This window comes from Homo sapiens, chromosome 2 (genome assembly GCF_000001405.40).
Source record: "Homo sapiens chromosome 2, GRCh38.p14 Primary Assembly".
Classification (NCBI taxonomy): domain Eukaryota; kingdom Metazoa; phylum Chordata; class Mammalia; order Primates; family Hominidae; genus Homo; species Homo sapiens.
This window is the reverse complement of record NC_000002.12, coordinates 27,496,719-27,524,701: the sequence shown is the minus strand read 5'-3', so window position 1 is coordinate 27,524,701 and position 27,983 is coordinate 27,496,719. Positions and strand designations below refer to the sequence as shown.

Here is a 27,983-nt window from a genome sequence, read left to right as displayed (position 1 = left end):
GATGAAAGAACGTGGTAGAGAGTTGTGGGTGAAGAGAAGCAGAGGGACTTTGCAGGAGCCTTTCCTAACTTTAGCCATCTTGAATTTGGGAGAGGTGTTTGTGGAAGATGAAAGGGGTGGTACTCAGGAAGCATCGTGAGAGTAGTGGCTGGGGAAAGGGGGATTACTGATCATCCAAGGCATCAGTGTGAAGATGTGGAACAGGAAAACAGAGCTCACATAGAGGCTGCAGGCCCTCAGATGCACAGAGGGGCCTATGGCCACCTTAAAAAGGTTGATTACTCTATCCTCATAAAACCAAAATCTGGCTCCTTTGCAGTCACCCTCCTGCCTAAAAGTTCCAGGGACCTTTCCAGAGAGTTTCATCCCCAGAGGAATGTTCCTGAGTATCTATTACCTGGATATTTCTCAGGCACAAGGAGGAACCAGCTCTCTACTGTCAGGGCCATATATCACAGGCCCTAAAGAGCTGGCATGAATCTAGGATGAACAAGGGTGTCTTTGATTTGTCAAAACATGGGGTAGCTGATGTCTAAAATGTACAGCCCGGGGTTTCTAGTGTTTGTTGGGTCCCACCACCAAGGGCTTTCAGCACCTCCAGAGTTCCTTATGTTCCTCTTACAAACACGGGGCAGGGGATGTGACCCTCATTTCATGGTCTAATGCGTGGATGTAGCAGTCATTCTAGATCTTGTCATGTCTGATTAAGACTGCCCTTTTTCTGGGTTTCCTATGTTAGGTACACAACTTCTTCCCTCTTCCCCTGGAATTATCTAAAAGTTCCCACCTCTCATTGTGTGTCTGTGTGGGATTGGAGTGTGTGTGCACGCATGCACACGTGGCTGCATGTTGGTAATGAAAATATAGGGATGCCAGTATAAGGCTTGTGTTAGGGACCAATGAAATGGAGTTGGGGACAGAATTAAAGAAACAAATCTGCTGTTAAGACCAACCCATGCCACCCATCCTATCCCACCTCTGATCTACTGTTTGATTTACTGACTTTGAAAGGTTAACTTTCCAAAATAAGACATTTCATTTTATTTCTGAAATCAGAATAAGTCGGTGAGAGTAGAAACCACTAGGTCGAGAGCAAGAACTCTCCCCCAAAGTGGAGAGAATATTTCTCCCTACCCTGGGCTGCGGATGCCCTGGAAACGGGGCTTCTTCCTCCCACATGTTCTGCTGGCACAAGTCCCCTTGGGCGGGCTGGGCTGAAGTGGGCAGGGTTGGGCCCCTTTCACCCACCCAGAAACATGGGTTCACTGAACGTCAGGCTCTAGGATCTCGAGGGGGTCCGCAGTGCGCTTCTGACCTGGCCCAGCAAGAGCACTCCTGACAGCCTCACAGACAGAAGGAGCTGCAGCCAGGTGTGCCTGAGCCTCAGTGATCGAGCACCGGAATAGGAGGCTCAGCAAGGCGATGGGTATCACCTGTGGGGAAGAGGCAGTGGGCACTGAAGCCTGAGGGAATGAGGTCATCAGAGAAAGAACCCCGGAGGAAGGTCGGGCGCAGTGGCTCACGCCTGTAATCCCAGCACTTTGGGAGGCCGAGGTGGGCAGATCACTTAAGTTCAGGAGTTTGAGACAAGCCTGGCCAATATGGCGAAACCCCATCTCTACTAAAAATACAAAAATTAGCCAGGCATTGGTGGCTGGCACCTGTAATCCCAGCTATTTGGGAGGCTGAAGCAAGAGAATCTCTTGAACCCGGGGGCAGAGGTTGCAGTGAGCCGAGATCGCGCCACTGCACTCCAGCAGCCTGGGTGACAGAGCAAGACTCTCTCTCAAAAAAAAAAAAAAAACAGAACCCTGGAGGAGTTAAAGCATTTGATACAGGAATCAGGAGCCACTAGGTTAGATGCAAATAGGATGTTATTAAGATTAGAAGGTGGTAACAAGGTGGATTAAGAGCAGAAAGAAACCTTCACTTTGACCAGGAAAACTCCTATTCATCCTTCAAAACCCAGTCCAAAGACCCCATGAATGTGGAGGTCCTTGTGAGCAGAGTGCCACTGAGCTTTGTAAACCCAGTGCCGAACAAACTTCCTGACACACTGAAAGTACTCAAAAAGTATTTGTTGAATGACCAGCAGTGGGCAGGATACCTGTTCCTTCTCATGTGCAACCTGGACATGGCAGGAGATGGGAGCAGCCCGAATATCATCTGACAGTGGCTGGGGAAAGTGGATCGCTCGGAGGAGGCTCTCGATGCATCGAGCCTTGGACTGTCCAGAGAACCGCTAAGGAAGAAGTGGTAAGATCAGTGTCAGGCTAAAGGCCAGAGGAACTAAGAATGGAGTCAAGGGAGAAGAATAAACTATGAGAGTGAGAGGCTGGGATCCCGAGGCCTGGCTATAGAGGCTGTAGATGATTTGTCCATGTTGGCAATCCTAAATTGTAATTCCCAGGTGTAAAGAAAAACTAGGTTAAAGGGGTTGGTGGTGGGCTTGACTGGCTGGGTTAAACTGGAGGATTAATGGCAAATTGCTCAAATTTGCATGTGTGTCCCACCAATCCTGTAGGTTGGTAATCTGGACTCCCTCTCTCTAGTTTCCTCTGTAACCAAATCCATCTTGCACACTAATGTAAGACTGTTCATCTGCAAACACTGCTTCCATTTTGTCACTACCCTCCTCTCTGTCTAGCTCAGCATTGTCCAGTAGAAATATAATGCAAGGCTGGGCACAGTGGGTCACACCTGTAATCCCAGCACTTTGGGAGGTCAAAACAGGAGGATTACTTGAGCCCAGGAGTTCGAGACCAGCCTAGGCAACACAGCAAGACCCCATCTCTACAAAAAATAAAACAAATTAGCTGGGCATGGTGGCACCTGCCTATCGTCCCAGCTACTCAGGAGGCTGAGGTGGGAGGATTGCCTGAGCTCAGGAGTTTGAGGCTGTAGTGAGCCGGATGGTGCCAATGCACTGCCCTCCAGCCTGGGTAACAGCGTGAGACCCTGTCTCTAAAAAAAATAAAAATAAAGAAAAAAATATAATGCAAACCACATATGTAAGTTTAAGTTTTCAGTAGCTGCATTAAAAAAAGAAATAGGTGAAATTGGCCAGGCACAGCAGCTCACACCTGTAATCCCAGCACTTTGAGAGGCTGAGGCAGGTGGATCACAAGGTCAGGAGTTGGAGACCAGCCTGGCCAATATGGTGAAATCCCGTCTCTACTAAAAATACAAAAAAAAAAAAAAAAATTAGCTGGGTGTGGTGGCGCATGCCTGTAATCCCAGCTACTCAGGAGGCTGAGGCAGGAGGATCACTTGAACCCAGGAGGTGGAGGTTGCAGTGAGCCGAGATCATGCCACTGCACTCCAGCCTGGGTGACAGAGTGAGACTCCATCTCAAAAAAAAAAAAAATGTGATTTCACCTATTTCTCCTGACCTTGTGATCTGCCCGCTTTGGCCTCCCAAAGTGCTGGGATTACAGGTGTAAGCCACCACACCTGGCCTGAAATCAATTTTAATAATATATTTTATTTAACCCAATATATAACCCAATGTAAACAATATTAAACATTATTAGTCAGATATTTTGCAATATTTTTCTATATTCGGATTTTGTATTTTGAAATCCAGTGTGTATTTTGCAACTAGAGCACACCTCAATTTGTTTTTTTGTGGCTTTTTTTAATTTTAATTTTATTTTTTGAGAGATAGTCTCACTCTGTCACCTAGGCTGGAGTGCAGTGGCACTATCTTGGCTCACTGAAACCTCCACCTCCCAGATTCAAGCTATTCTCCTGCCTCAGCCTCCCTAGTAGACAGGACTATAGGCCTGTGCCAACATGCCCGGCTATTTTTTTATTTTTTTTATTTTTAGTAGAGACGGGGTTTCACCATGTTGGCCAGGCTGGTCTCGAACTCCTGACCTCAAGTGATCTGCCTGCTTCGGCCTCCCAGAATGCTGGGATTACAGGCGTGAGCCACCGTGCCCAGCCAGCCCACCTCAATTTGGGTGCTAGATTTGCAATGCTAAAAAGAGAAATGTAGTCCTACCAAAATATTAAAGTTACATTTAATTTAAAAAGTATACAGCTTTGGTTTTTACATAAAATTAAAAATTCAGTTCCTCAGTCACATTAGCCACATTTCAAGTGCTCAATAGCCACATGTGGCTGGTGGCCAATGTTTTGGACAGCGCAGGTCTAGCTGCATTTGGCAAAGTCCAAATTCCTGCCTGGCTTTAACCTCCCACATCCCTCCCCTTCCTACTTCTTCACAATCCCTCACTGCGCTCTAAAGTGACTTGCCACTCTGGTTAGACCTGTGTCCCTCACATATCATGCCCAGTCCCCCTTCTGGGACTTGGTGAATGACCTAACAGGAATGCTCTTCTGTCCACCTATCCAAGCCATAACCACCAGGCCTAGCTCAAAATACCACCCCTTCCATGAGGCCTTCTTTTTGCTATAATGCATTCTGACCCCCACCTTCTTTATACCTCCACTGGACTTCAGTAAGGACCATAGTTTATTTTGGGGACCTGGTGGGTGCTCACTAAATGTTCATTGATTGATTCCTTTCACATAGGGTTGCCAGATTTTGTGAATAAAAATACAGGACATCCAAATATATAATGAAAAAAATCAAAAATATCTCAAATATTGCATAGGGCATACTTGATGGAAAAATTATTCCATATTTATCTGAAATTCAAATTTAACTGGGCGTCCTGTATTTTTATTTGCCGAATCTGGCGACCCCATTTTCATGACCATCTGTTGTGCCGTCTGCTCAACATCCACTCCTTCTGGTATCAGCACCTTGGTTTTCCTCTGAGGATCTATCGCTTCCCCATGCTCAGGTAATGAGGTTGGATTGAGGCTCACCTCCCAGCCCTTCTTCCACCACCATCCTGAAGGGAAAGCACATGATCCAGACTGGGCAGAGCATCCCTTGCTCTGGAGAACAGTGATTGCTTCAGGGACATGCATGTGTCCCAAGCAAGAGCCCCCAACCAGGCATTTGCAAGAACCACAGGACAGGCAAGCTCTTTGCCCACTAGTGTTGCTACGTAAATTGTCAGGCTGGCACTACTGGTGGCCAGTTTGCCACCTAATGGAAAAAACTTGCCTAAGAATGAGAGCAACGGCCGGGTGCAGTGACTCACGCCTGTAATCCCAGCACTTTAGGAGGCTGAGGCAGGTGGATCACCTGAGGTCAGGAGTTCGAGACCAGCCTGGCCAACATGGCAAAACCCTGTCTCTGCTAAAAAATATAAAATTAGCTGGGCATGGTGGGGGGTGCCTGTAATCCCAGCTACTCGGGAGGCTGAGGCAGGAGAATCAATGGAACCTCAGAGGCGGAGGTTGCACTGAGCTGAAATAGCACCGCTATACTCCAGCCTGGGCGATAGAGCAAGACCCCATCTCAAAAAAAAAAAAAGAATGAGAGCAACACAGGGGAAAACAGAGTTAAGGGTGGAAAGTTCTGGAACACATTAGATTCAGCTGCCCTAAGATTGTTCAGTTATATCAGCCACCATTTTCTTTGTTTAGCTTAAACCAGTATAAACTCGTTTTCCATCACGTTTGTAACTGAAAGAGTCTTGCCTAATAATTACAATTTCACAAACACACCCATGTGTGCACACACACTCCTTAAGGGGAAGATGCACCTAATAGGAGGAGCAGAAGCACACAGAAAAGGCAGCCTGTACCCTTGCACATTTCCATATCTCTACAAAATGCCCTCCTCTGGCAGCCTAAGCATTGAGGCCAGGTCCCACCCAACCCTGCCCCATCATATCCCTACCTGCAGCATGGCCAGCGCCCGCCAGAAGAGCTTGGAGTTGCTAATCCGAAGGTCCAACATGTGGTTTTGTAGGATCTTACCAAGAAGCACATGAGCACCTGTACTCACTGTATTCAGCACCCATTTGGTGCTTAGCTCACGCTGGAACTTCTGAAAAGGGCAGACACATGGGGGTGTCAAAAATTAGAGGACAGAAAAGCAGCAGAGTGAACAGGGCCCTGTTATCAGACAGGAAACCAACTGTCAAGAACCAGGGACCAAAATGCAAACATGATTTGTTTGAGCAGCCCAGCGTTTAAATGTTAGGGCAATAGATGTAAACCAGGATTGTCTCAGGCAAACCTGGTAGCTTCACCCATTTGTGTTTTTGACCCCTAGGTAGACAGACATGTTCTCTGAGTCCTTCCATATTAGAATTTTGATCCTGCTGAATTGTTCCTTTTTCTCCCCGGGTATCAGACAGGAGGAGTGGGATTCATTCCACTAAACCACAGGCTTCTTGAAAGGGCAGAGATGGTGACTTATTCTGCTCCAGGGCCCCAGTTTTTTAGACCATGACTGACACATATTTGCTGATCAATACATTTGTTGAGGCCGGGCACAGTGGCTCACTCCTGTAATCCCACCACTTTGGGAGGCCAAGGTTGGGGGATCACCTGAGGTCAGGAGTTCTCAACAAGCCTAGCCAACATGATGAAATGCTGTCTCTACTAAATACACAAAAATTAGCTAGGAGTGGTGGCATACACCTGTAATCCCAGCTACTCGGGGGGCTGAGGCACAAGAATCACTTGAACCCGGGAGGTGGAGGTTGCAGTGAGCCTAGATTGTGCCACTGCACTCCAGCCTGGGCAACAGAGTGAGACTATGTCTCAGGGGAAAAAAAAATGTTTGTTGAAAAATGAATTCTATTTAATTTTTCTAACAGCCCTACAGAATAAGTTTACCTATCCTCATTTCTACATATGAGGAAACTAGAGGTCAGAAGTAAATTAACTTGGAGAAGCTCATATGATAACGAGATGGAGAATGAGGACCTAAATCCCGGTCTTCTGATTCAATGATGAGGGCATTTCCTACTTTGCCACAAATATCTCCTGGATGAATGAGAGAACCTATGTAAAGGCATGTTGAAAACTAAAAAATTGTTCAAACATGTGGTATCGCGAGTATAAAACTGCCCCTTGTTTTTGGCCCTTATATCTTGTCCACCTTGGGGCACTTATAACACCTATTGGCACATTAGCAGGGAAACTGGGGCCCAGTAAAGGTGTTGAGGGGATTAATTAACTGGTGATATGGTTAGGCTTTGTGTCCTCACCCAAATCTCATCTTGAATTGTAATCCCCATAATCCCCATGTGTCAAGAGAGAGACCAGGTGGAGGTAATTGAATCATGGGGGGCAGGGGGCGTTCCCCCATGCTGTTCTTGGGATAGTGAGTTCTCATGAGATCTGATGGTTTTATAAGGGGGCTGTTCCCCCTTCACTTGGCACTTCTCCTTTCTGCCACCTTGGGAAGAAGATGCCTTACTTCCCCTTCACCTTCCACCATGATTGTAAGTTTCCTGAGGCCTCCCCAGCCATGCTGAACTGTGGGTCAATTAAACCTCTTTCCTTTATAAATCACCCAGTCTCGGGCAGTTCTTTAGAGCAGTATGAAAATGTACTGGCCAAGGTGGGCGGATCATGAGGTCAGGAGATTGAGACCATCCTGGCTAACATGGTGAAACCCCGTCTCTACTAAAAATACAAAAATTAGCCAGGCATGGTAGCAAGCACCTGTAAGTCAGAGCTACTTAGGAGGCTGAGGCAGGAGAATCACTTGAACCCAGGAGGCAGAGGTTGCAGTGAGCCTAGATCACGCCACTGCACTCCAGCCTGGCGACAGAATGAGACTCCATATTAAAAAAAAAAAAAAAAAAGGTACTAATACACGTGGTCCTAGCCAGGCTGAGGAAACAGGCTACTGCTACTTTTACCTCTTTATTCTGGAACTCTAGAAATAGCTGTTCACACAAAACCCTGGAAGAGGGTATATTGAAAACATTTTAATAAGTGAATGTCCACGACACTAAATATAAGAACAGCATGAAATTTCAGCATGAAACTGGCCAGTAAGTATGCAGTACTGATGCTATAGGGTGCGTGTCAGACTGCACTTTGGGAGAGAGGTCAATTAGATCTAGGTTATACCACTAACCATTGATACCATTAACATTAACACCATTAACACAAAAATATTTTAAATTTTACAAAATTTGGAGTGCGACACATTCATTTTAAAGTACACATGGAAAAATCGGCCTGGATATAGCCAGGAAAATCCTTAAAAAGAAGAATAGGCTGGGCACAGTGGCTCACGCCTATAATCCCAGCACTTTGGGAGGCTGAGGTGAGTGGATCACTTGAAGTCAGGAGTTTGAGACCAGCCTGGCCAACAGGGTGAAACCTGATCTCTACTAAAAATACAAAAGAAAATTTGCCTGGTGTAGTGGCGCGTGCCTGTAATCCCAGCTACTTGGGAGGCTGAGGCAAGAGAATCACTTGAACCTGGGGGGCGGAGGTTGCAGTGAGCCGAGATCATACCATTGAACTCCAACTTGGGCAACAGAATGAGACTCCATCTCAAAAAAAAAAAAAAAAAAAAAAAAACAAGAATGAAGAACAAACCCTATTGGATACCAAACATACCATAACGCCTCCATAATTAAAACATATGGTACCAGCACATCAATAGACAAACCAGTGGAACAGAATAGAAAGTCCATAAATAGACCAATGCACATAGAAATTGAGTATGTGACACAGATAGCATCCTAAATCACTCAGGAAAAGATGAACTTAAAAAAATTATATTGGAGCCAGGCACGGTGGCTCACCCCAGTAACCCCAGCTCTTTGGGAGGCTGGGACAGGAGGATTGCTTGAGGCCAGGGATTTGAGACCAGCGTGTGCAACATAGCAAGAACCTGTCTCTACAAAAAAAAAAAAAAAAATTTTGTTTAATTAGCCAGGCATGGTGGCATGTGCCTGTAGTCCCAGCTACTTGGGAGGCTGAGGTGGGATGATTGCTTCAGCCCAGGAGTTTGAGGTTGCAGTGAAATCTGATCACATCACTGCACACCAGCGTGGGTGACAGAGTGAGATTCTGTCTCAAAAAAAAAAAAAAAATATATATATATATATATATACGAACAATTGGATAATCACTTGGAAAAATAAATAATTGGATTCATGCCTTACCCCATACACAAGAATAAACTCCCAATAAATTAAAGATCTAAGTGTTTAAAAAAGAAAAAAAGAAACCATCTCTACTAGCAGAAAACATGGATGGAATTCCTTTACAATTTAGATGTTAGAAAAAGCTTTCTGGACCACGCCTATAATCCCAGTGCTTTGGGAGGCAGAGGCGAGTGGATCACTTGAGGTCAGGAGTTTAAGACCAGCCTGGCCAACATGGTGACACCCCTGGCCAACATGGTGAAACAAAATTAGCTAGGCATGGTGGCAAGCGCCTGTAGTCCCAGTCACTCGGGAGGCTGAGGTGGGATGATCACCAGAGCCCAGGAAGTTGAGGCTGCAGTGAGCCATGATCACACCACAGCACTCCAGCCTAGGTGACAGAATGAGACCCTGTCTCAAAAAAATAATAAAATAAGGCTGGGCGTGGTGGCTCACGCCTGTAATCAGCACTTTGGGAGGCCGACATGGGCAGATCACCTGAGGTCAGGAGTTCGAGACCAGCCTGGCCAACATGGTGAAACCCTGTCTCCACTATAAATGCAAAAATTAACTGTGCATGGTGCTGGGCACCTGTAATCCCAGCTACTTGGGAGGCTGAGGCAGAAGAATTGCTTGAACCTGGGAGGCAGAGGTTGCAGTGAGCTGAGATCACATCACTGCACTCCAGCCTGGGTGACAGAGCAAGACTCCATCTCAAAAAACAATAATAATAATAGTAATAAAATAATAATAAATAAATGAAAACTACACAGAAGTGGCATTTCTAATCTATCAGGTTGACAAAATCCAAAAACTTCACAAAACTCTCCAAGAGGCTGTAGGAGAGCAGCATTCTTGTATATTGCTGGTATGGAAAGCAAAATAGTAAACCCTATGGAAGGAAATTTTGCAATATCTAACAAAATGGCATATGTATGTACCGTTTGACCCAGCTCTAATACTTCTAGGAATTTATCCCAAAGATACTCTTCTGACATTATAAAAATACATGTACATTCATTACATCATGATTGATCATAGCAAAATATGGGAAACCTATATGTCCTACATAGGAGATTGCCTGAGTAAACTATTACATATGTGGAAACACACAAAGGTAAAAATTAATGAGGAAGAGCTCTATGATCCAATATGGAGTGATTTTCAGAATATCTTCTTAAAGCACAAAAGAGTATAGTAGACTGCCTTTTGTATAGGAAGTGCAAACTTATATGTACACACACACTTTTCTCCAAAAAGAAACATAGGAGGATAAGCCAGTAACTAATTAAACTAATTCCCTACAGGCATGAATGGAAATGGAATGAGACGGCAGATATATTGATGATGTTGGAAATCAACATTATCACTAAGGGAAAGAGGAAGAAGAGTGGGAATATATATACAGTATTTATATAGATGTATATATAGATGTATGTGTGTGTATATATATATATACGCAGACACATTCATCTGTATGTAAACAAACATACATATGTATATGTATGTATGCATGTATATATACATAAACACACACATACACACACCCTTATTCTTTCTACTGATAGGGCTTAGAGGCAAAGACACACCAGTAGCAGTGAACATACCTAGCATTTGGGTTTCTAAATACTAGAACCCACTAACAAGATCAGGTCTCCTCAGAAAAATGACTGACTCCAGGGCTGGATCAGGGAAAGTATAGGTGAGCCTGGGTCAGTGGTTTTGTGTTCCTGCATAGGAGATTGACAGGGCAAACTATTGTTACACACACACACACACACACACACACACACACACACACAAATGCAAATAATAAGTAATAATGAGGAAGAGATCTATAAACTGCACTGCAGTGATTTTCAGAATATCTTAAGCAAAAAATGCAAGATATAAAAAAGATGCTACCTTTTGCATAAGAAGGTTATTATTATTTTACAAAAAGAAACACAACAAAGAGTGTTCAAATACTGATGTGGATATGTCACAAGGACACAGGAACCAGCTTGAATGAACTCTCATTTTGAGCATTAAAATAAATAATGAATAATAAGAATGGATTAAAACACATTTAACAACAACAAAAAATTCATGAGTCCATATTGACACTAAAAAAACAAAGATAGATAGGGTAGATAGGACGGGGAGAGAAGAAAAAGATTTTCTTTCTTTCTTTTTTTTTTTTTTGTGACGGAGTCTCGCTCTATCACCCAGGCTGGAGTGCAATGGCACGATCTCAGCTCACTGCAACCTCTACCTCCTGGTTCAAACAATTCTCCGACTCAGCCTCCTGAGTATCTGGGACTACAGGTGCACACCACCACACCCGGCTAATTTTTGTATTTTAGTAGAGATGGGGTTTTGCTATGCTGGCCAGGCTGGTCTCAAACTGCTGGCCTCAAGTGATCCACCTGCCTCAGCCTCCCAAAGTGCTGGGATTACAGATGTGAGCCACCGCACCTGGATGAGAGAGATTTTCTTTACAGAAGAATGCCAACTACTGAATATAGATGGAAGGGATAGAAATAGAAAATCACCATTGAAAAACTACCATAGTAATAATTAATTCAACCAAGAATCATCAGTGGATGCTAAAACCATTGGGTGAAAGATTGCTGAGGAATAGGATACAGAGAAATCTAACAGACACCATCCTAGCTAAACGATGGAATGTAGCATCACCAATAAAGGGGCAAACTGACATCAGGTACCTCCCGATGTGATACACTGATAAGGGCACAACTTCCCCTATGCAGTACTCCTGCCAAAAAATTTAACCTGAATATCATGACGAAACAATCAGGCAAATCCAAAGTGAGGCATATTCTGGAAAACAACTGACCTGGACTTACTTCTAAGATATCAATGTCATCAAAGAGATAAAGAACAACTGAGAAACTCATCTGGAGTAAAGGAAAACCCAAAAGACCTGATAACTGAATGCAGTGCATTATCCTTGATTGGATCCTGGATCTGGGAAATAAAAACAATACAGGAATATTTGGGGAAATTTGAATATGGTCTAGATAATAGATAATAGTATATTAATTGTCATTTTCCTGAGTGGAAAAGTATATTGTAATTATGTAGGTGAATGCCCTTGTTCTTAGAGGACACATACCAAAGTAATTAGTATAACATATCAGGCATCTCCAATTATCTTCTTTTTTTTTTTTTTTTGAGATGGAGTCTCACTCTGTCACCCAGGCTGGAGTGCAGTGGCATGATCTCGGTTCACTGCAACCTCCACCTCCCAGGTTCAAGTGATCCTCCTGCCTCAGCCTCCCGAGTAGCTGGGACTATGAGCATGTGCCACCATGCCCGGCTAATTTTTGTATTTTTAGTAGAGATGGGTTTCACCATGTTGGCCAGGCTGGTCTTGAACTCTTGACCTTGTGATCCACCCACCTCAGCCTCCCAAAGTACTGGGATTGTAGGCGTGAGCCACCACGCCCGGCTTTTTTTTTTTTTTTTTTTTTGAGATGGAGTCTTGTGTCGCCCAGGCTGCAGTGCAGTGGTATGATCTCAGCTCACTGCAACCTCTGCCTCCCAGGTTCAAGCGATTCTTCTGCCTCAGCCTCCTGAGTAGTTGTGATTACAGGTCCAAGCCACCACGCCTGGCTAATTTTTGTATTTTTAGTAGAGATCAGGTTTCACCATGTTGATCAGGCTGGTCTCGAACTCCTGACCTTGTGATCTGCCTGCCTTGGCCTCCCAAAGTGCTGGGATTACAGGCATGAGCCACCGTACCTGGCTCCAATTATCTTTCATATAATTCAGGGGAAAAGAAAGAGATGAAGCAAATATGGCAAAATGTTAATAATTGATGAATCTAGGGAAAAGTATATGGGTGTTCCTTGCACCATTTTCGTATTTTTCTGTAGGTTTGATTTTTATCAAAATAAAAGTGTATCCACTGTCACTTCGGAAGGCAAAAAAGAAAACAAAACAAAACAAAATAAAAGTGTAGGAACAGTTTACATAGAAAATATTTCTTTTTTTTATTTTTAATTTTTATTATTATTTTTTTTTGAGACAGAGTTTCACTCTTGTTGCCCTGGCTGGAGTGCAATGGTGCGTTCTCAGCTTACTGCAACCTCGGCTTCTCCTGCCTCAGCCTCCCGACTAGCTGGGATTACAGGCACCCACTACCATGCTCAGGTAATTTTTTTGTATTTTTAGTAGAGACAGGGTTTCACCATGTTGGCCAGGGTGGTCTCGAACTCTTGACCTCAGGTGACCTGCCCGCCTTGGCATCCCAAAGTGCTGGGATTACAGGCGTGAGCCACGGCGTCTGTCAAAAATATTTCTATAGCTAAAGATTGACCAGCCCAAACAAAGCCTCTTTATTTCAAACAATTCCAATTCATTTAGAAAGATAAAACCAGGCTGAGTGCAGTGGCTCACTCCTGTAATCCCAGCACTTCGAGAGGCCAAGGCAGGTGTATTACCTGAGGTCCGAAGTTCGAGACCAGCCCGGCCAACATGGTGAAACCCTGTCTCTACAAAAAATGAAAAAAGTAGCAGGGCATAGAGGCGTGTGCCTGTAATCCCAGCTACTCAGGAGGCTGAGGCAGGAGAATCGCTCGAACCCGGGAGGCAGAGGTTGCAATGAGCCAAGATCACACCACTGTACTCCAGCCTGGGCCACAGAGCGAGACTCTGTCTCACAAATAAATAAACAAATAAATAAAACCAACATCAACCAAAAGGCAAAAAACACAAAGGAAAAGATTGATAGATTTGACTATGTAACATTTTAAATAAAATGTCTCTACATAAAAAACGTAAAAACAAAAGAAAATATTAAGCTGGGAAAAATATAGAAAAGAAAAAAAGGGCTACTGTTTTTGCTATACACACCCCTTCTTACAAATAAGAAAAAAAAATACCCCCCAAAGAAAGAATGGGTAAATAGACCCAAAAGACAAGAAGCAGTACATGAAAGACAAAAAAAAAGTATCAAATGGCCAATATATATTTTTAAGTAGTCCACCTACACAATAATTAAAGAAATATAAATTAAAATAACACTAAAATGCCCTTTTGTTGCTTTACTGATTAGCAAAGATTTTTTTATAAGGATGCTATCCAGTATGTATAAGGGTGTAAGGGAACAAGCAACTTCACGCTTTATTTATAAACCTCTTTGGAGGGCAGTTTGGCTGTATGTATCAAAAAGCTTCAAAATTTTACATCCCCTTTGACCCAGTGATTTCGCTTTTGGGGTTTATCCTGGTGAAACAAGTCAAATGCCTAAAAGATGTGTTTATAAGGATGTTCAGTGCAGCACTTTAATAAAAACCATAATATTGAAGTTGTCTCTGTGTCTGATAATCGGAGTTAAACAATTTATGGTACATCTATACAGTGGAATATTACATTGACACTAAAAATGATAGTAGTGGCCGGGCGTGGTGGCTCACGCCTGTAATCGCAGCACTTTGGGAGGCTGAGGCGGGTGGATCACAAGTTCAGAAGATCGAGACCATCCTGGCTAACACGGTGAAACCCCGTCTCTACTAAAAAATACAAAAAATTAGCCAGGCGTGGTGGCGGGCACCTGTAGTCCCAGCTGCTCAGGAGGCTGAGGCAGGAGAATGGCGTGAACCTGGGAGACAGAGCTTGCAGTGAGCGGAGATCGCGCCACTGCACTCCAGTCTGGGTGACAGAGCGAGACTCCATCTTAAAAAAAAAAAAAATGATAGTAGTGATCTATCAGATGAGAACATGTCCCGGCATGATAAAAATAAATAATAATAATAATAATTTTTGAAAATGATGGTGATCTATTAGTACAGAAAGATGTTCATAAAGCAACTTTAAAACAGCATATCAAGTATGGTCTTACTTTTGTACAAATATATTTATATATGCATATAATAGAAATTTAAAAGGACATTCTCCAAAATTTGTTAGAGTGTTTTTTTTTTTTTTTTGAAGATGGTAGATTTGGAGTGATTTTTTCTTTTTTGCATTTCTGTAATTTGTAACGTCTTTACTATAAAAAATGTATCTATAAAAAATGTATGGCTGTTAAAATGAACATTTTTCTTTAAAAATACAGTGTTTTGGCTAGGCGTAGTGGCTCACGCCTGCAATCTCAGCACTTTGGGAGGCTAAGGCGGGTGGATCACTTGAGTCTAGGAGTTGGCAAACAGCCTGGGCAATGTGGAGAAACCCGATCTCTACAAAAAAAATACAAAAATTAGCCAGTCATGGTGGTGAGTGCCTGTGGTCCTACCTACTTGAGAAGCTGAGGTGGGAGGATCAGTTGAGCAGGGGAGGCGGAGGTTGCAGTGAGCTGAGATGGCACCACTGCACTTTAGTCTGGGCCACAGAGTGAGACTTTGTCTTTAAAAAATAAAAAGAATGAAAGACATTGGAAGGAGAGTGGATTCCCTGTTCAGGGGCAGAGAAACTTCCGCTTCTATACGAGTTCTGAGTCCAGGTAAGTCAGTGTTTCAGCTGTGTCTGGTCAAGCCAGGAAACTTCTGACAGACATGGTTTGAATAACGAATAAGAGACCACATCTCTCCAGAGCAACCCTTCAGGGCCCTGATTCTGCCCATGGAGGGTGGGCAGGTGGTGTATGAGAAAACTGAGAACCAGAGATGTAAAATTGCTTGCTTTCTTGGGCCACACTGTAGAGCTAGACCGGCATCCAGAGCTCCCAATGCCCACACAAAGCTCTAAATTGCAAAGAGCACACACACTGATTATTATTTCTGTAATTATTATCAGTATTTGTGCTGGATTATAATTCATTGGCAAGCAGGGACTATATGCACATAAAGTTATCTGCAATGAATTCAGCATAGTAAACTTGCAAAAAAAAAAAAGGTGTGGTAAAAGCTTTTGGATAATGATGATGACTTTGGTATCAAGAATTAACCTGTCCCAGCCAGGCGCAGCGGCTTACACCTGTAATCCCAGTACTTTGGGAGGTCGAGGCAGGCAGATCACTTGAGGTCAGGAGTTCGAGACCAGCCTGGCCAACATGAGGAAACCCTATCTCTACTAAAAATACAAACAGTAGCCGGGCATGGTGGTGCACACCTGTAGTCCCAGCTACTTGAGGCACGAGAATCACTTGAACCCAAGAGGCAGAGGTTGCAGTGAGCCAAGATTGCACCACTGCACTCCAGCCTGGGCGACAGAGTGAGACTCTGTCTCAAAGTAAAAATAATTAACCTGTCCCAAAGGACAAATGAACATCTGTCAGGTGACTGGAGGCCTATCCCGCAACTTTTTGCATATTCCTAGAGACAGCTGAGCCCAGTAGTTCATTGCCTTGGGAATTCTGACTAGTAACCTGGTAACCCATGACCTTGCCCAGCTGGCTTTGTGAGGGTCAGAGAGGTCTCCAAACTTTCTGCCCTACAGCCTTGGGTTTTTTGATTCTTGGAATCCCTCACCCTCTGAGCCCCTTACTGCAGATAGGACCTTCTCATTCCCCATACCTGGATGAAGTTCCCTTCATATTCAAAGAAAAGCAGTGGCCATGTGATGCTGATGATGGAGGGAAAGAGCTTCTTCAGAGGGATCTGGAGAGAGAGAAAGAGGAGCAGGAGAGGCATCTCCAGGAAGGCCTGGCTGCAACTGCCACCTGGGTCCCTTTGTCACGGCTGGACTCTCACCAGCAAGGTCTGACCCACGGTGCTGTGTGCCAGGGCCTGGATGTGGTTGGTCTTCTCTTTCACCTGCTCCACTATAGTCTGCACCTCCGTGAGGTTGTCTAGGAGAAGGGGAGGGCATCAGAGTCGAAAGGCTGGCTGTGCAGCTGTTCCTCCTGCTCCCCTGGCTGGGGTCCAGTCAGGATATTCACCCCGTCCCTCCCTCTGAGCAGGTACCCTAAGACCCAGAAAAACAACAGCTCCTCTGAACCATTCTATTTCCCCCTCCCCACCCCTCACCACTCCCATCTTCCCTCTCACCATCCAGGGTGAAAATGAAGACCACAGTATCGATTTCCGTGAGAGAGGGAAGGATGGAAGTCAGGAAGTCCTCCTGGGAGAAGGTGAACTGGGGACCCTGGGGCAGAAGAAGATGGGAGGGTCCCTCCCATGAAAACACTCTAAAGCACAGACTTGAGGACTAAAGGGGGCCGTGGAGGAGATCTAACACTTTTGTGCACAGGTGAAAGAGCTGAAGTTCAAAAGGTACAGTGTTTTGCCCAAGATTATGTAACAAGTCAGTGGACTAGGGCCAAGTTTGGGGACTGGATCTAGAGCTTTCCACACTGCCCATGCTAAGCCAAAGCCTCATGACTTCTGACCCATATTCTCTTCTCTGGACCGTCTATTCCAATGAACTTCCCACCTAGCTCCGCCTTCCCCTTTTCTTCCACCCTCAGCACACTAGTGGTCTCCCCAGCTTCCCCAAGTCCTGTTCTTCTCCGACCTGGTTGGTGAGCTCAGCCTTCTGGTTAAACATGTCACTGTGATCACCAATGAGAAAGCCACGGACATCTCGGAAATCTGGGAAGTTTAAGAACAAGGAGAGAGGAGTGATTGGCTATATAGGAAAGGAAGGTTCTAGGCTTCAGGGGGAGAAAATGGGACTGGGAGGAAAAGTGGCAAGTGGGGCGTAGAGTGAGGAGTAGCCCTTGTGGGAGGCCATAGTTAAGCACAGGGGTGGGAGCTGAGAAGGGATCAAGGACTGAGTTGGGGTTCTAAGGAAGAAGAATTTGACTGAAGTGCCTATTTAGATAGGGAAGGTGGGACACTGAGGAACACCCATGGGTTGGGAGTAGGACAGTGTTTGGAGAGCAGCCCGAATGGTTGGGATCAGGAGGAAGCAGGAAGAACATCTGGACTGGGGTCCCACCAGCACCAAAGGTGTGGATGCACTCTACTCCATCCATGATGGCAATGATGCCCAGGGTCTGCCAGCCAACCAGGTACACGTGGCCTTTCTTCTCCAGACTGAGAATGGGTCAGAGGTCAGGACATGAGAGATCACCGTGCAAAGAGGCCAGAGATGTCCACAGAAGAACACAGGAGTCAACAAACCATGACCCTTCAACATGCAATCCTATCGCCCATACCGTGTTAACATGTCTCACAGAGTCTCCCTGCTCTCAGTATTCTCCATCCGGGCCACATCCTCACCTCTAAACACATATCCACACACCTGGTGCTGACACTCTTCATCAGGGTGGCAATCTTGGGGCTTTGGCTGTAGGTCACCTGATGAGCTCGCTCAAATGTCCGCAAGATTTCCAGGAGGCATCTGGGAGAAAAGCCACCAGCTCTCAAGAAGGGCCCAATTCCCCCTCAGAAAGCTTAGGTGCCTCCCTGAGCGGGGAGGTGAAGGCACAGCTCCCTTAGAACTAAATTCTGCTGGTCCCTGGAGAGGTGCAGAGAGTAGGCCCAGACTGCGTTCCGAAGGGGCAGCAAGGGCTTCTTCAATGGGCAGAAAACAAAAGAGCAGAAAGAGGGACGAGTGCAGCAGGAAAGCACCAGGAGGAGCAGGATCTGAGAGCCACTGGGAAGGGGCATGAGCAGCCTAGGAGTGAGGCTAGAGACCCTGGAGAGGGAGGCAGGTCCAGAGTAGGATAAGCTCTACCTGCATGGCCTGGACCACCCCCAAATCAAAGGACCCTAGGGAGCCAGGCTAGCTTTGGAGGCCCCAGGCAGGCTCAGGGATTAGGTCTGGGCCTGAGGAATCCAGGATCCACTGGAAACAATTCGGACTCTGCAACTATGAGGTGGGAGCAACAGCATGTACTACCCAGCTCCCTTCCCAGGGGAGGCGTGGTGGGCTGCAGTCTTACTGCCACCAGCCCAGTCCTTGGATCTAGACCTGCCAATCTCCATCCACACCATCTCACACTCGCCTGACTCTGAGCTCTCTCTTATCCAGATCCTCCCTACCTTTGAGATGCTGCAATGCCCTGGTCCACAGTCTTATGGGCTGCTAATAACAGGGTTTCCAGCAGAATCTTGGTGGCACTTCCACCTTTCATCCGGGAGGAGCCGCTGAGACCCTCGGGCTGAAGAGGTGAAGACACCCAAGAGGAATTGGGAGAGGATGAAGACCCCGTAGACCACTTGTTAGTAACCCCCGGGCATGCATGTGATAGTACCAGTGGCCCCCAGTGTGCTTGTGAGGAAGGGTGCTGGGGTGGGCTTGACCGAGAGGAAGATTAGAAAGAGGGGAAGGGCCTCCTCTGATCACTCCTAGGTATACTCAGGACTTTCTGGAGAGGAAGTCAGAGTGATTGGGTCTCTTGTCAGCTGGGTCAAGGGTTTTTCAGAGTGCTTTTCTTTTCTTTGTTTTCTTTTTTTTTCTTTTTTTTTTTTTTTTGAGATGGAGTCTTGCTCTGTCACCCTGTCACCCAGGCTGGAGTGCAGTGGCAGGATCTCGGCTCACTGCAAGCTCTGCCTCCTGGGTTCACGCCATTCTCCTGCCTCAGCCTCCCAAATAGCTGGGACTACAGGCGCCCGCCACCATGCCCGGCTAATTTTTTGTATCTTTAGTAGAGATGGGGTTTCACCGTGTTAGCCAGGATGGTCTCGATCTCCTGACCTCGTGATTCGCCCACCTCGGCCTCCCAAAGTGCTTTTTTTTTTTTTTTTTTTTTTGAGATGGAGTCTCACTCTGCCACCCAGGCTGGAGTGCAGTGGCACGATCTTGGATCACTGCAACCTCTACCTCCCAAATTCAAGCGATTCTCCTGCCTCAGCCTCCCAAGTAGCTGGGATTACAGGCACCTGCCACCACGCCCGGCTAATTTTTGTATTTTTGGTAGAGACGTGGTTTCACCATGTTAGCCAAGCTGGTCTTGAACTCCTGACCTCAAGTCATCTGCCCGCCTTGGCCTCCCAAATGCTGGGATTACAGGCGTGAGCCACTACACCCAGACCAGAGAGTGTGTTTCTTTCCAAGAAATTTCTCCCCCACTTCCACCATTTTCTGTGGTAGTTTATCAATCCAAATACCACATGTCATATGCTTTGGACAGACCAATGAAGAAGTGATTGCAGCAGTCCAGATGTGGCACACAGCACACCAGACAGACAAAGAGGCTACAGCAAACAGAATGATAACAGTAGTGACTGAGGCTGGGTGCGGTGGCTCACGCCTGTAATCCCAGCACTTTGGGAGGCCGAGGCGGGCGGATCACCTGAGGTCAGGAGTTCGAGACCAGCCTGGCCAACAGGCTGTCTATTAAAAATACAAAAATTAGCCAGATGTGGTGGCAGGCACCTGTAATCCCAGCTACTCCGCAGACTGAGGCAGGAAAATCGCTTGAACTAGGGGAGCAGAGGTTGCAGTGAGCCAAGATCAGGCCATTGCATTCCAGCCTGGGTGACAAGAGCAAGATTTCGTCTCAAAAAAAAAAAAAAAAGTAGTGACTGAGAAAAGAAGATTGAAAGCCATTGAAAGTCAACATTTGCAGGGAGGAGGAAAGACAGATGAGCATTTAGGAGGTGAAAGCCGTGGAATTCTTATGTCATATGGAATTCTACCTTCTTATCTCACAAAAGGAAGATGGAGGAGAATGTCGCAGATGGTGTGCCCACCACTGGTAGAGGGAGGCACGGGCTGGAATTTGGCTAAGGCCCTCGTAAGGCCCAAGTAAGGAGAAATGGTGCTAGTGAAATGTATCTGCAATCCAGATGAGAAAAAAAGGAACAAGAGAAAACAGCTTTCAACCTAAGAAGGGCCACCCAATTTTGGAGAGGATTTAGAAAGGCAGAAGAATGAAACAAAACTGCACCCCATTTTTTAAAGCCCATATTTAAAATGTAAATATGTGAGAGAGACAGACTGAAACATAACAATGGCTATTCAACGCTCTCTATACATAGATGGCAAAGAGCTTCTTTAAATAGAAACTGTCCCAGACCGCTGAAGTGTTTAAGGCTTACCAATTTGAGAGAGAGGGTTGGAATGAAGACGAAATATCTTAAGGTGAAAATGTAAATGGGAAAATAGGATTTGGTTTATAACATTTTAGCTGACTCACAATACCTCAGGAATTTAAACAAGATATAATAGAACCTAAAATCAGAGGCCCCAAGGAAGTGGCAAGCAGTTCCCAGGTGTTGGAGGGGTGGAGAACATAGAAAAAGGAGAGGCCCTACCCCGATGGCAGGATTGAGCACAAAAGCTTTCTGTTTCTCCTGCATTTTCTGCATCCGCTCTGCTACTTGTCGGAATGTTGAACTCCAGTCTTCAATGGGGTCATTTCTGAGGTCCAGAGAGACACAAGGTGGGGAGATTGTCTATGAGGATCTCAAAGAAGGGCCTCAGCTGGGAGTCATGATCAAAGACTGCATTGGGATTGAGGTCAGAGGTCAACAACTTCATACAGACATATGCTTTGGAACTTTTAGAGGCACTGTGTCCCCGAACCCCAAGGACAGGGGTTAATAAAACATGCAGCACCTCAAGCCCAGAGCAAAGCCAACACTCAAGTTTAAAGTCCCAGCCTGAGACCCAAACTATCTTGTGTCCTGCTCCTTGCATAAGCCCCAATGCCATGGCTATACTAATGTCACTCTCTGCAGGTCCTTTAGGGAAGGCCTGTTATTCAAATGTCAAAATTGTCACCTTATTTTCCATCTTAGGGTCCATCAGAAGCCCTTCCCATTTGTGGGAATACATTCTGGAAATCCCTCCAAAGAGTGAACCCTCAGTACCAGAGGGAGGGATAACAGTGAGGGAACCAAGCTTCAAGGTAGCACCTCACAGTTGTTGAACATTCCTTGAGTAAATTAATTGGGAACAAATAAATGTGTTCATGAGGCAAGAGAGCTACAGACTTGTTATCTGCTTAGTTACAAATCACGGAATCTCAAAGAATGACGATCTTCTTTAGTTGATTTCTAATGGCTTTGCTAGGGGATAATTTGTGAATCGCCCACTGTGGCAGGACCTCAAAGAGTTAGTTACTTCTGTACATGGCACCCCTAATTTCACCTTATCATCCCATCCTGCAAAGGTTCCCTCCCTTCTTGAACTATTTTTGTATTTTTTTTCTTCTGTATTACTTCTAGGGCAGACAAGTTTCACATATTTCATGCCCGTTGTATAAAATGTCTCCTGTCATTCTTCCTCAAACTATTTCTGAAACTTCCTAGAGTCCTAAGAAAGAGGAGACTAAAGCAGAGAGGGTTCATATCGTATGGTTTAACGTCGAGATTCCTAAACACAGCTGGGCATCCAAATCATCTGGGGAGTTTTGTTTTTTAATAACTACCCATTTCTGGGTACCAAGTCCACCCTAAGATTCAGATTCAGTAGTTCTGGAGTGGAGCCCAAAAATCTGTATTTTAAAAAAGCTTCCCAGATGACTCTGAAAATCAGCCAAGTTTGGGAGCCACTGATTTAAGGAACAACTGGAAGATCTCCACGCCTACGTTGTTTGAAATTCTTCATTTCACTTAGTCATAGGGCCTGAAATTAGCATCCACTGCAGCAGATACATTTTTGGTGAAGGAGAGCCCTCCATGAAAAGGATCAGGGTTAGGAGTATTTCAGATTCATTTACACCTTCGCATAAATTATACTACCGCCTAGAATCTGGAAGGTGAAAAAGCACCTTGGAAAAACCCACTTGTCCCCCTTCCCAAGACCACCGCTAAATACAAAAAGCTGCTCTAAAATAATCAACAAGCCTTTGCCGCATCCCTCTGGTGTCAGGAAGCCCTCAGCTTTGTCAGGTGGCCCACTCCAATGGTTTATTTAGCAGAGTTCCCCAAACCTGGCTGTGCATCAGAATCTCCAGGGTTGCTTTCAAAAAATAGATATTTCAGGGCCTTACTCCAAACCTACAAAATCAGACCTCTTACACAAGGAACTAAGAATCTTCTTTATTTTTTTGTAACATTCCCCAGGCAGCTCATGCACAGAACCACATCTGAGCACTACTGGTTTAATATGTTGATTTATTCTGAAATAAGAGTGACCACTGACATAGAGAATAAGAGGGAGGTGATTTGGTAATGAGGGGCTCTCAGGGAAGGGAAGACAGTGAGAGATCTGAGGATCCTCGGGGGAGGAAAGGGGTGCCTGGAATGATGAGAGAGAATGGGCACTAAATAAGGGAACTGGACAAAGAGGAGTAGGAGGCCATCTGGCACCCACTACTACTACTTTGAAAAGGTGCTTGGGGCTCACCCCCATATGAAAGCACAAATCTTTATGGTATGCATCTTCCTGACCCCATTTTATCCTCCATTTTATTCCTTGTTTCTCTTGCCTCTTCAATCCCTGTTTTGAATGTATGCTATCTTATATTTTATGCATCCTTTATAAGCTGCCTTTAATGCTTTCTGAAACAAGAAGAGAATAATTCAACCAACCAACAAACAAAAAACCTTATAAGCTTAGGGGCACCCCATATTTACTTTAATATTCTGAGATTTGGTGAACAAGACTATCTGTTCTCTCCCTTGTGGTTGTACTGTAGACTTTGACATGTTCCCCTCCAGCCTGCCCCAGGGCTGCCCAGTCATTCCAGAAGGCTCACCTGGCCATGCTCACTGGATTGAAGCCAACCAGGACTGGCAAGAAGACAGCTGTGTTGTTCATGCAGCAGTCCATCTGGCCTGCCACAAAGGGAGCCTGATGGTGAAGAGAGAGAAGGGCATGATGAGGGGGTCATTACTCTGAGTGGTGCCCAAGGCTCAAGTGCATCAGAACCCTTCAGAATGCTTGTTCAAAATGCAGATTCCCAGGTACAGTTACAATCTACTGGATCCAAATTTGAAGGGGGAGCACGTTTTTAACAAGTACCTCAAGGGCACTACATTTTTAACAAGTTCTCCAAGGAAATCTTCTGCACGGTAAAGTTGGAATACTACTGAACTAAAATCGTAAACTCTTTGAAGTCAATATCCTCTTCTCTTTGTGTGCTTCCTTCCATATATAACACTGGTGGGATCTAGTTTCTGCGAAGTGAATTCTTAGAGCCAGAGAGCTGCAGAATTGAGAGGAAACTTGGAGTCATCTGGCTCAGTGCTTCTCAAACTACCTGGAAATCTTGTTAAAATGCTCAGTAGGTCCAGAGTGGGGCCTGAGATTTTGCATTTCTAACAAGTCCCAGGTGACACTGATGTTGCTGGTGCAGGCACCACATTTTAAGTAGCAAGAGACTAGTCCAGGGGCCATATTTTTCTGTAAAAGGCCAGATACTAAATACTTTAGGGTTTGTGGGCCCTATGGTCTCTGTCCAACTACTCAACCCTATGGCTATAGCATAAAAGAGGCCTTAGACCATATGTAAACAAAAATGGCTGTGTTCCAATAACTTTATTTTAGGGGCTGGACATGGTGACTCATGCCTGTAATCCCAGCAATTTGGGAGGCCAAGGTGGGCAGATCACTTGAGGTCAGGAGTTCAAGACTAGCCTGGCCAACATGGCATTCCTCATGTCGGTGAGCATCCTGGTCCCCAGTTTTCTTTTTTAGTAGAAACCCTGTCTCTACTGAAAATACAAAATCAGCCAGGCATGGTGGCATGTGCCTATAATTCCAGTTACTCGGGAGGCTGAGGCAGGAGAATCGCTTGAACCTGGGAGGAGGAGGCTGCAGTTAGCCAAGATTATGCCACTGCACTCCAGCCTGGGAGACAGAGGGAGACTCTCAAAAACAACAACGACAACCAAAACAAAAACAAAAACTAACCTTTATTTTAGGGCCAGGTGCAGTGGCTCACTCCTGTAATCCCAGCACTTTGAGAGGCTGAGCGAGGCAGGTGGAGCACCTGATGTCAGGAGTTCGAGACCAGCCTGGCCAACATGGTGAAACTCTGTCTCTACTAAAAATGCAAAAATTAGCCGGGCATTGTGGTGGGCGCTTGTGATCCCAGCTTTTCGGGAGGCTGAGGCAGGAGAATCGCTTGAACCTGGGAGGTGGAGTTTACAGTGAGCCGAAATCATGCCATTGCACTCCAGCCTGGGTGACAGAGCGAGACTCCATCTCAAAAACAAACAAACAACAACAACAAAAAACTTTAAAAACAGGCAGCTGGCTGCATTGGCCAGCCAGTATATTTTGCTTACCCCTGGACTAGTCCACCTATCTTGGTTGTTGATTGATTGATACACAGTTATTCTGAAATAGAATCCCTTCCCCATCTTCCCACATTCACACAACTTGATCCAAGTTAGTGAAACTAAAACCAAAATTCCTTGAGCAAACTTCCTGCCTTCTAGCACCGATCTCATTGATCTATCTTCCATGCTATTCCATTCCCACTCACTTCCTCTCTCTAAAATTGATCCACTCAACCCATCTTTTTACTCACAGAGAGTCCCACAGAAATGCCAATGACAATCACTCTCTTCTTCCCGGCAGCCACCTAGGAGAGGAGGATGGACAAGGTAGTGTAACTGGGAGGATTCCAGGGCACAAATCTACTGTGTGAGGATATCAGGGCCAGGAACAGGGGAGGGAGGAAATAGGCTTTGGCTGAATGCTGGGGCTTTTATGTCCCCATGAGAAGGAACAGATAGAGGTCTCTGGTCAATGTCAGTGAAAAGCACAGACCTTCTTCAGTTCCTCAATCCCGTGCAAGGCACTATCTTCTGTCCCCTCCCTAGAGGCCACCACAGACCTAAGAGGACAGACTCAAGGTCAGTGGCAGTGGCTGGAAAGCAGAAGCCTATGGCGTATTAGGGCAGGCTACATTAAGAGATGCGCATAAAGGGAAAACTATCATTGAATGAGCACCCACAGTTTGTTGGTGCATGATAGACACTCCATAGAGTTGAAAAACTCAAATACCTACAACAGCCAGTCAGGCGACATAAGTATGTGAAGTGGGCCAAGTGTGAGGGAATAAGGAATGGTGAGGACTAAGACAAGCCAGACACAATCTCTGTCTAAAGGTATTCCAACTCAATTTCTAAGAAATACTATTTAGGTCAAACAAAATATTCATAGGCTAACTTGGCTTACCTGTCACCACCTGCAATGAGGTAGGTGTAAAGAGGTTTCTGTCCCAGACCTTTCATCAGCTGATTAAAGGACACCTGTCAAGCAGGGAGAGGATGTAAAGAGGTAATGACAGAGAAGAAACAATTATCTTGGATTTTCAACTCCTAGAGGGCAGAGACTATATAATGATTCTCTTAGACCAGTGCTTAACCCAGTCCTACATGGAATCTCGCACTTAAAGCTGCTACTTGGAGATGATTAGTCGGTGGTGCATGGGATGTAGAGACATTGGCAACATACTGGCGGGACTCAGATGGGCTCAGAAGAAATGGGACTTCATGGTGACATCTAGCTTTTGGAAGAGAGAAAGAGCCAGGCTTGGAGTCCAGGTCTAGTGAGGGGGCCACCTGGGAGCTTAGTTATGATGATCTTTATGGTCCTGAGGGTCACCTCCAGAAGTGGAGGGGGAAGAAAACTGGAGACCAGGGTGCTCACCGACATGAGGAATGCCATCCGGCCAGAGGTGCCCCCTCCACTCAGCACAACCAGCCCCCCATCTGGCTCCTGAAGAAGGAAAGAGGCATATATTACCAGGGCCTGGCTCAGGTTGGGAGAAGAATATTCTTTTCTTTGTCAGTAATGCAAGAGGAATTGGAAAGACTCCTTATCCCTCCTCTCATCACAAAATTGAACAAATACATGCAATGTAGTGTAGCAAAAAGAACATTGGATTAGAGAAACCAGTTTGACTCCCATGTCTTGCTCCACTACTTGTTCAAATCCTTACTTCTCCCAGAAAGAACTGAAAGCAGCTTTGTCATCTAAATAAAAGTAAATAATAAAAGCAGCATTATCCAGCAATTATTAGCTCAGTGTATTTGAGCAAGCTACAGTGATTATCCTTTCTAAATCTTTGTTTTTTCATCTGAGGAAAACAAACAGAAGTCATATCAACTTCACAGGCTTTTGTGAGGGTAATAGGTGTGAAAGTAGATTGTCAATTATAAAGTATTAAGCAGAGAAGTTATCATTATTATTTATTAATAAGATGAAAATAAGGATCCAAAAGGGAGGATCTCCAAAAGGGAGAAAGGAGAATGAGATCTATCAAAGTGAGAAATAGAGACAGTAAAAAGAGAAAGAGGGAAACAGAAAAGTTTAGGCAGGGAACAGAAGGAAGGTTAGTACCTTCAGCACTTCCTGAACTTTCCCAGCCACCTGTACCATGGTGGTCAGAATGGATTCGCTGTAGAGTCTCTGTAGGGAATATGCAGGAATGAGAAGCCAAGAAAAGGAGGACGATGAATGGGGGAGGGGGTCTCAGGGTTTCCGATATTAGGAGCCATGGTGAGGGAGAGCAGAGGTGGGGTTGGGGTTGGCATGTTTATTTCCAGGGTCCAGGTCTTGGGTCTTGGTTACCTGGTATGTGGACAGGGCTTGCCCCTCCTCCTGGAAGATCTCAGCATCACATTGCCCTAGCAGTCGAACAATGTTCTCAGCATCTGCTTTGTCTAGATCCTGGGTCAGTGGGTTTGACTTCTCCGTGATTGGCACAGCTGCCTCGTACCCAGACAACTAGAAGGAAGAGGGGACAAGGATGGAGCAGGAAGCCAAAGCCTCATTCATGCCTGCTGAGCTGGAGGTGGGAGTGGCAGCAGGCACAGAGTTTGGACTTACACACACGCACACACATACCACACCAGAAACTCAGCCTGCACTTGGTGCTCTGGGCATATTAGGGAAAGAACATCAGGAAGGAAGAAGAGGTGAGCAGAAACCAGCGGGGAGGGAAGACTGGATGAAAAATAATTCTAGGAATCAGCACAGAAAGCCAACATGAAGAAGGGGTCTCACCTCCCACTTGCCAGGCTCCGGGGTCTCAATGACATGTTGAAACCGTTTTGTGCCTGGCATGGTCCCACGCTGTGGATACACTGTTCCTCCTGCCTCTTCAGCCACACAAACCCCTCTGGTCACAATGACTCTGCTTCCAGTTGGCAGGGCCTTATCTGAGCCCCAGTGATGATTAACCCAAGCACCCTGGGCTCTCAGAGCACCACCCTTTCCTGGTCACTAGGCCCCCAGCCCTCTGGTAACCCC

At 45.4% G+C, this 27,983-nt stretch overlaps 1 protein-coding gene across 5 annotated transcripts; it reads right to left on the bottom strand.

The window, feature by feature from the left end:
* Positions 1,018-27,863, bottom strand: GCKR (glucokinase regulator). 5 transcript variants are annotated; one of them, NM_001486.4, is made up of 19 exons: positions 27,738-27,863; positions 27,303-27,458; positions 27,072-27,140; positions 26,379-26,447; positions 25,905-25,978; positions 25,494-25,560; positions 25,252-25,305; positions 23,473-23,567; positions 21,083-21,188; positions 18,866-18,984; positions 18,123-18,221; positions 17,817-17,914; positions 17,391-17,467; positions 16,925-17,021; positions 16,628-16,725; positions 16,451-16,534; positions 5,765-5,914; positions 2,108-2,242; positions 1,018-1,433 (listed from the first exon to the last, which is right to left on the bottom strand). In NM_001486.4, the coding sequence occupies exons 1-19, from the start codon at positions 27,795-27,797 to the stop codon at positions 1,263-1,265; spliced, it is 1,878 nt and encodes a 625-aa protein (NP_001477.2). In that variant the 5' UTR covers positions 27,798-27,863; the 3' UTR covers positions 1,018-1,262. The 5 variants fall into 5 exon arrangements, 4 of the variants coding, with proteins under 4 accessions (NP_001477.2, XP_016859285.1, XP_016859286.1 ...); XM_017003796.2 differs by lacking the exons at positions 25,494-25,560; positions 26,379-26,447; positions 27,072-27,140; positions 27,303-27,458; positions 27,738-27,863 and having other exon boundaries at positions 25,905-25,942; XM_017003797.2 differs by lacking the exons at positions 25,252-25,305; positions 25,494-25,560; positions 25,905-25,978; ... (2 more) ...; positions 27,303-27,458; positions 27,738-27,863 and adding an exon at positions 24,630-24,671.

What these genes read in the sequence shown, in the direction of transcription:
- GCKR (NM_001486.4), bottom strand. Translation starts at nt 27,797, where the DNA reads ATGCCAGGCACAAAACGGTTTCAACATGTCATTGAGACCCCGGAGCCT. An exon ending in CTCATTGCAGGTGGTGACAG is followed by an intron (nt 25,561 to 25,904) that starts GTAAGCCAAGTT and finishes CTGTCCTCTTAG; the next exon opens with GTCTGTGGTGGCCTCTAGGG. An exon ending in ATGAAGAGTGTCAGCACCAG is followed by an intron (nt 17,915 to 18,122) that starts GTGTGTGGATAT and finishes ACCCATTCTCAG; the next exon opens with TCTGGAGAAGAAAGGCCACG.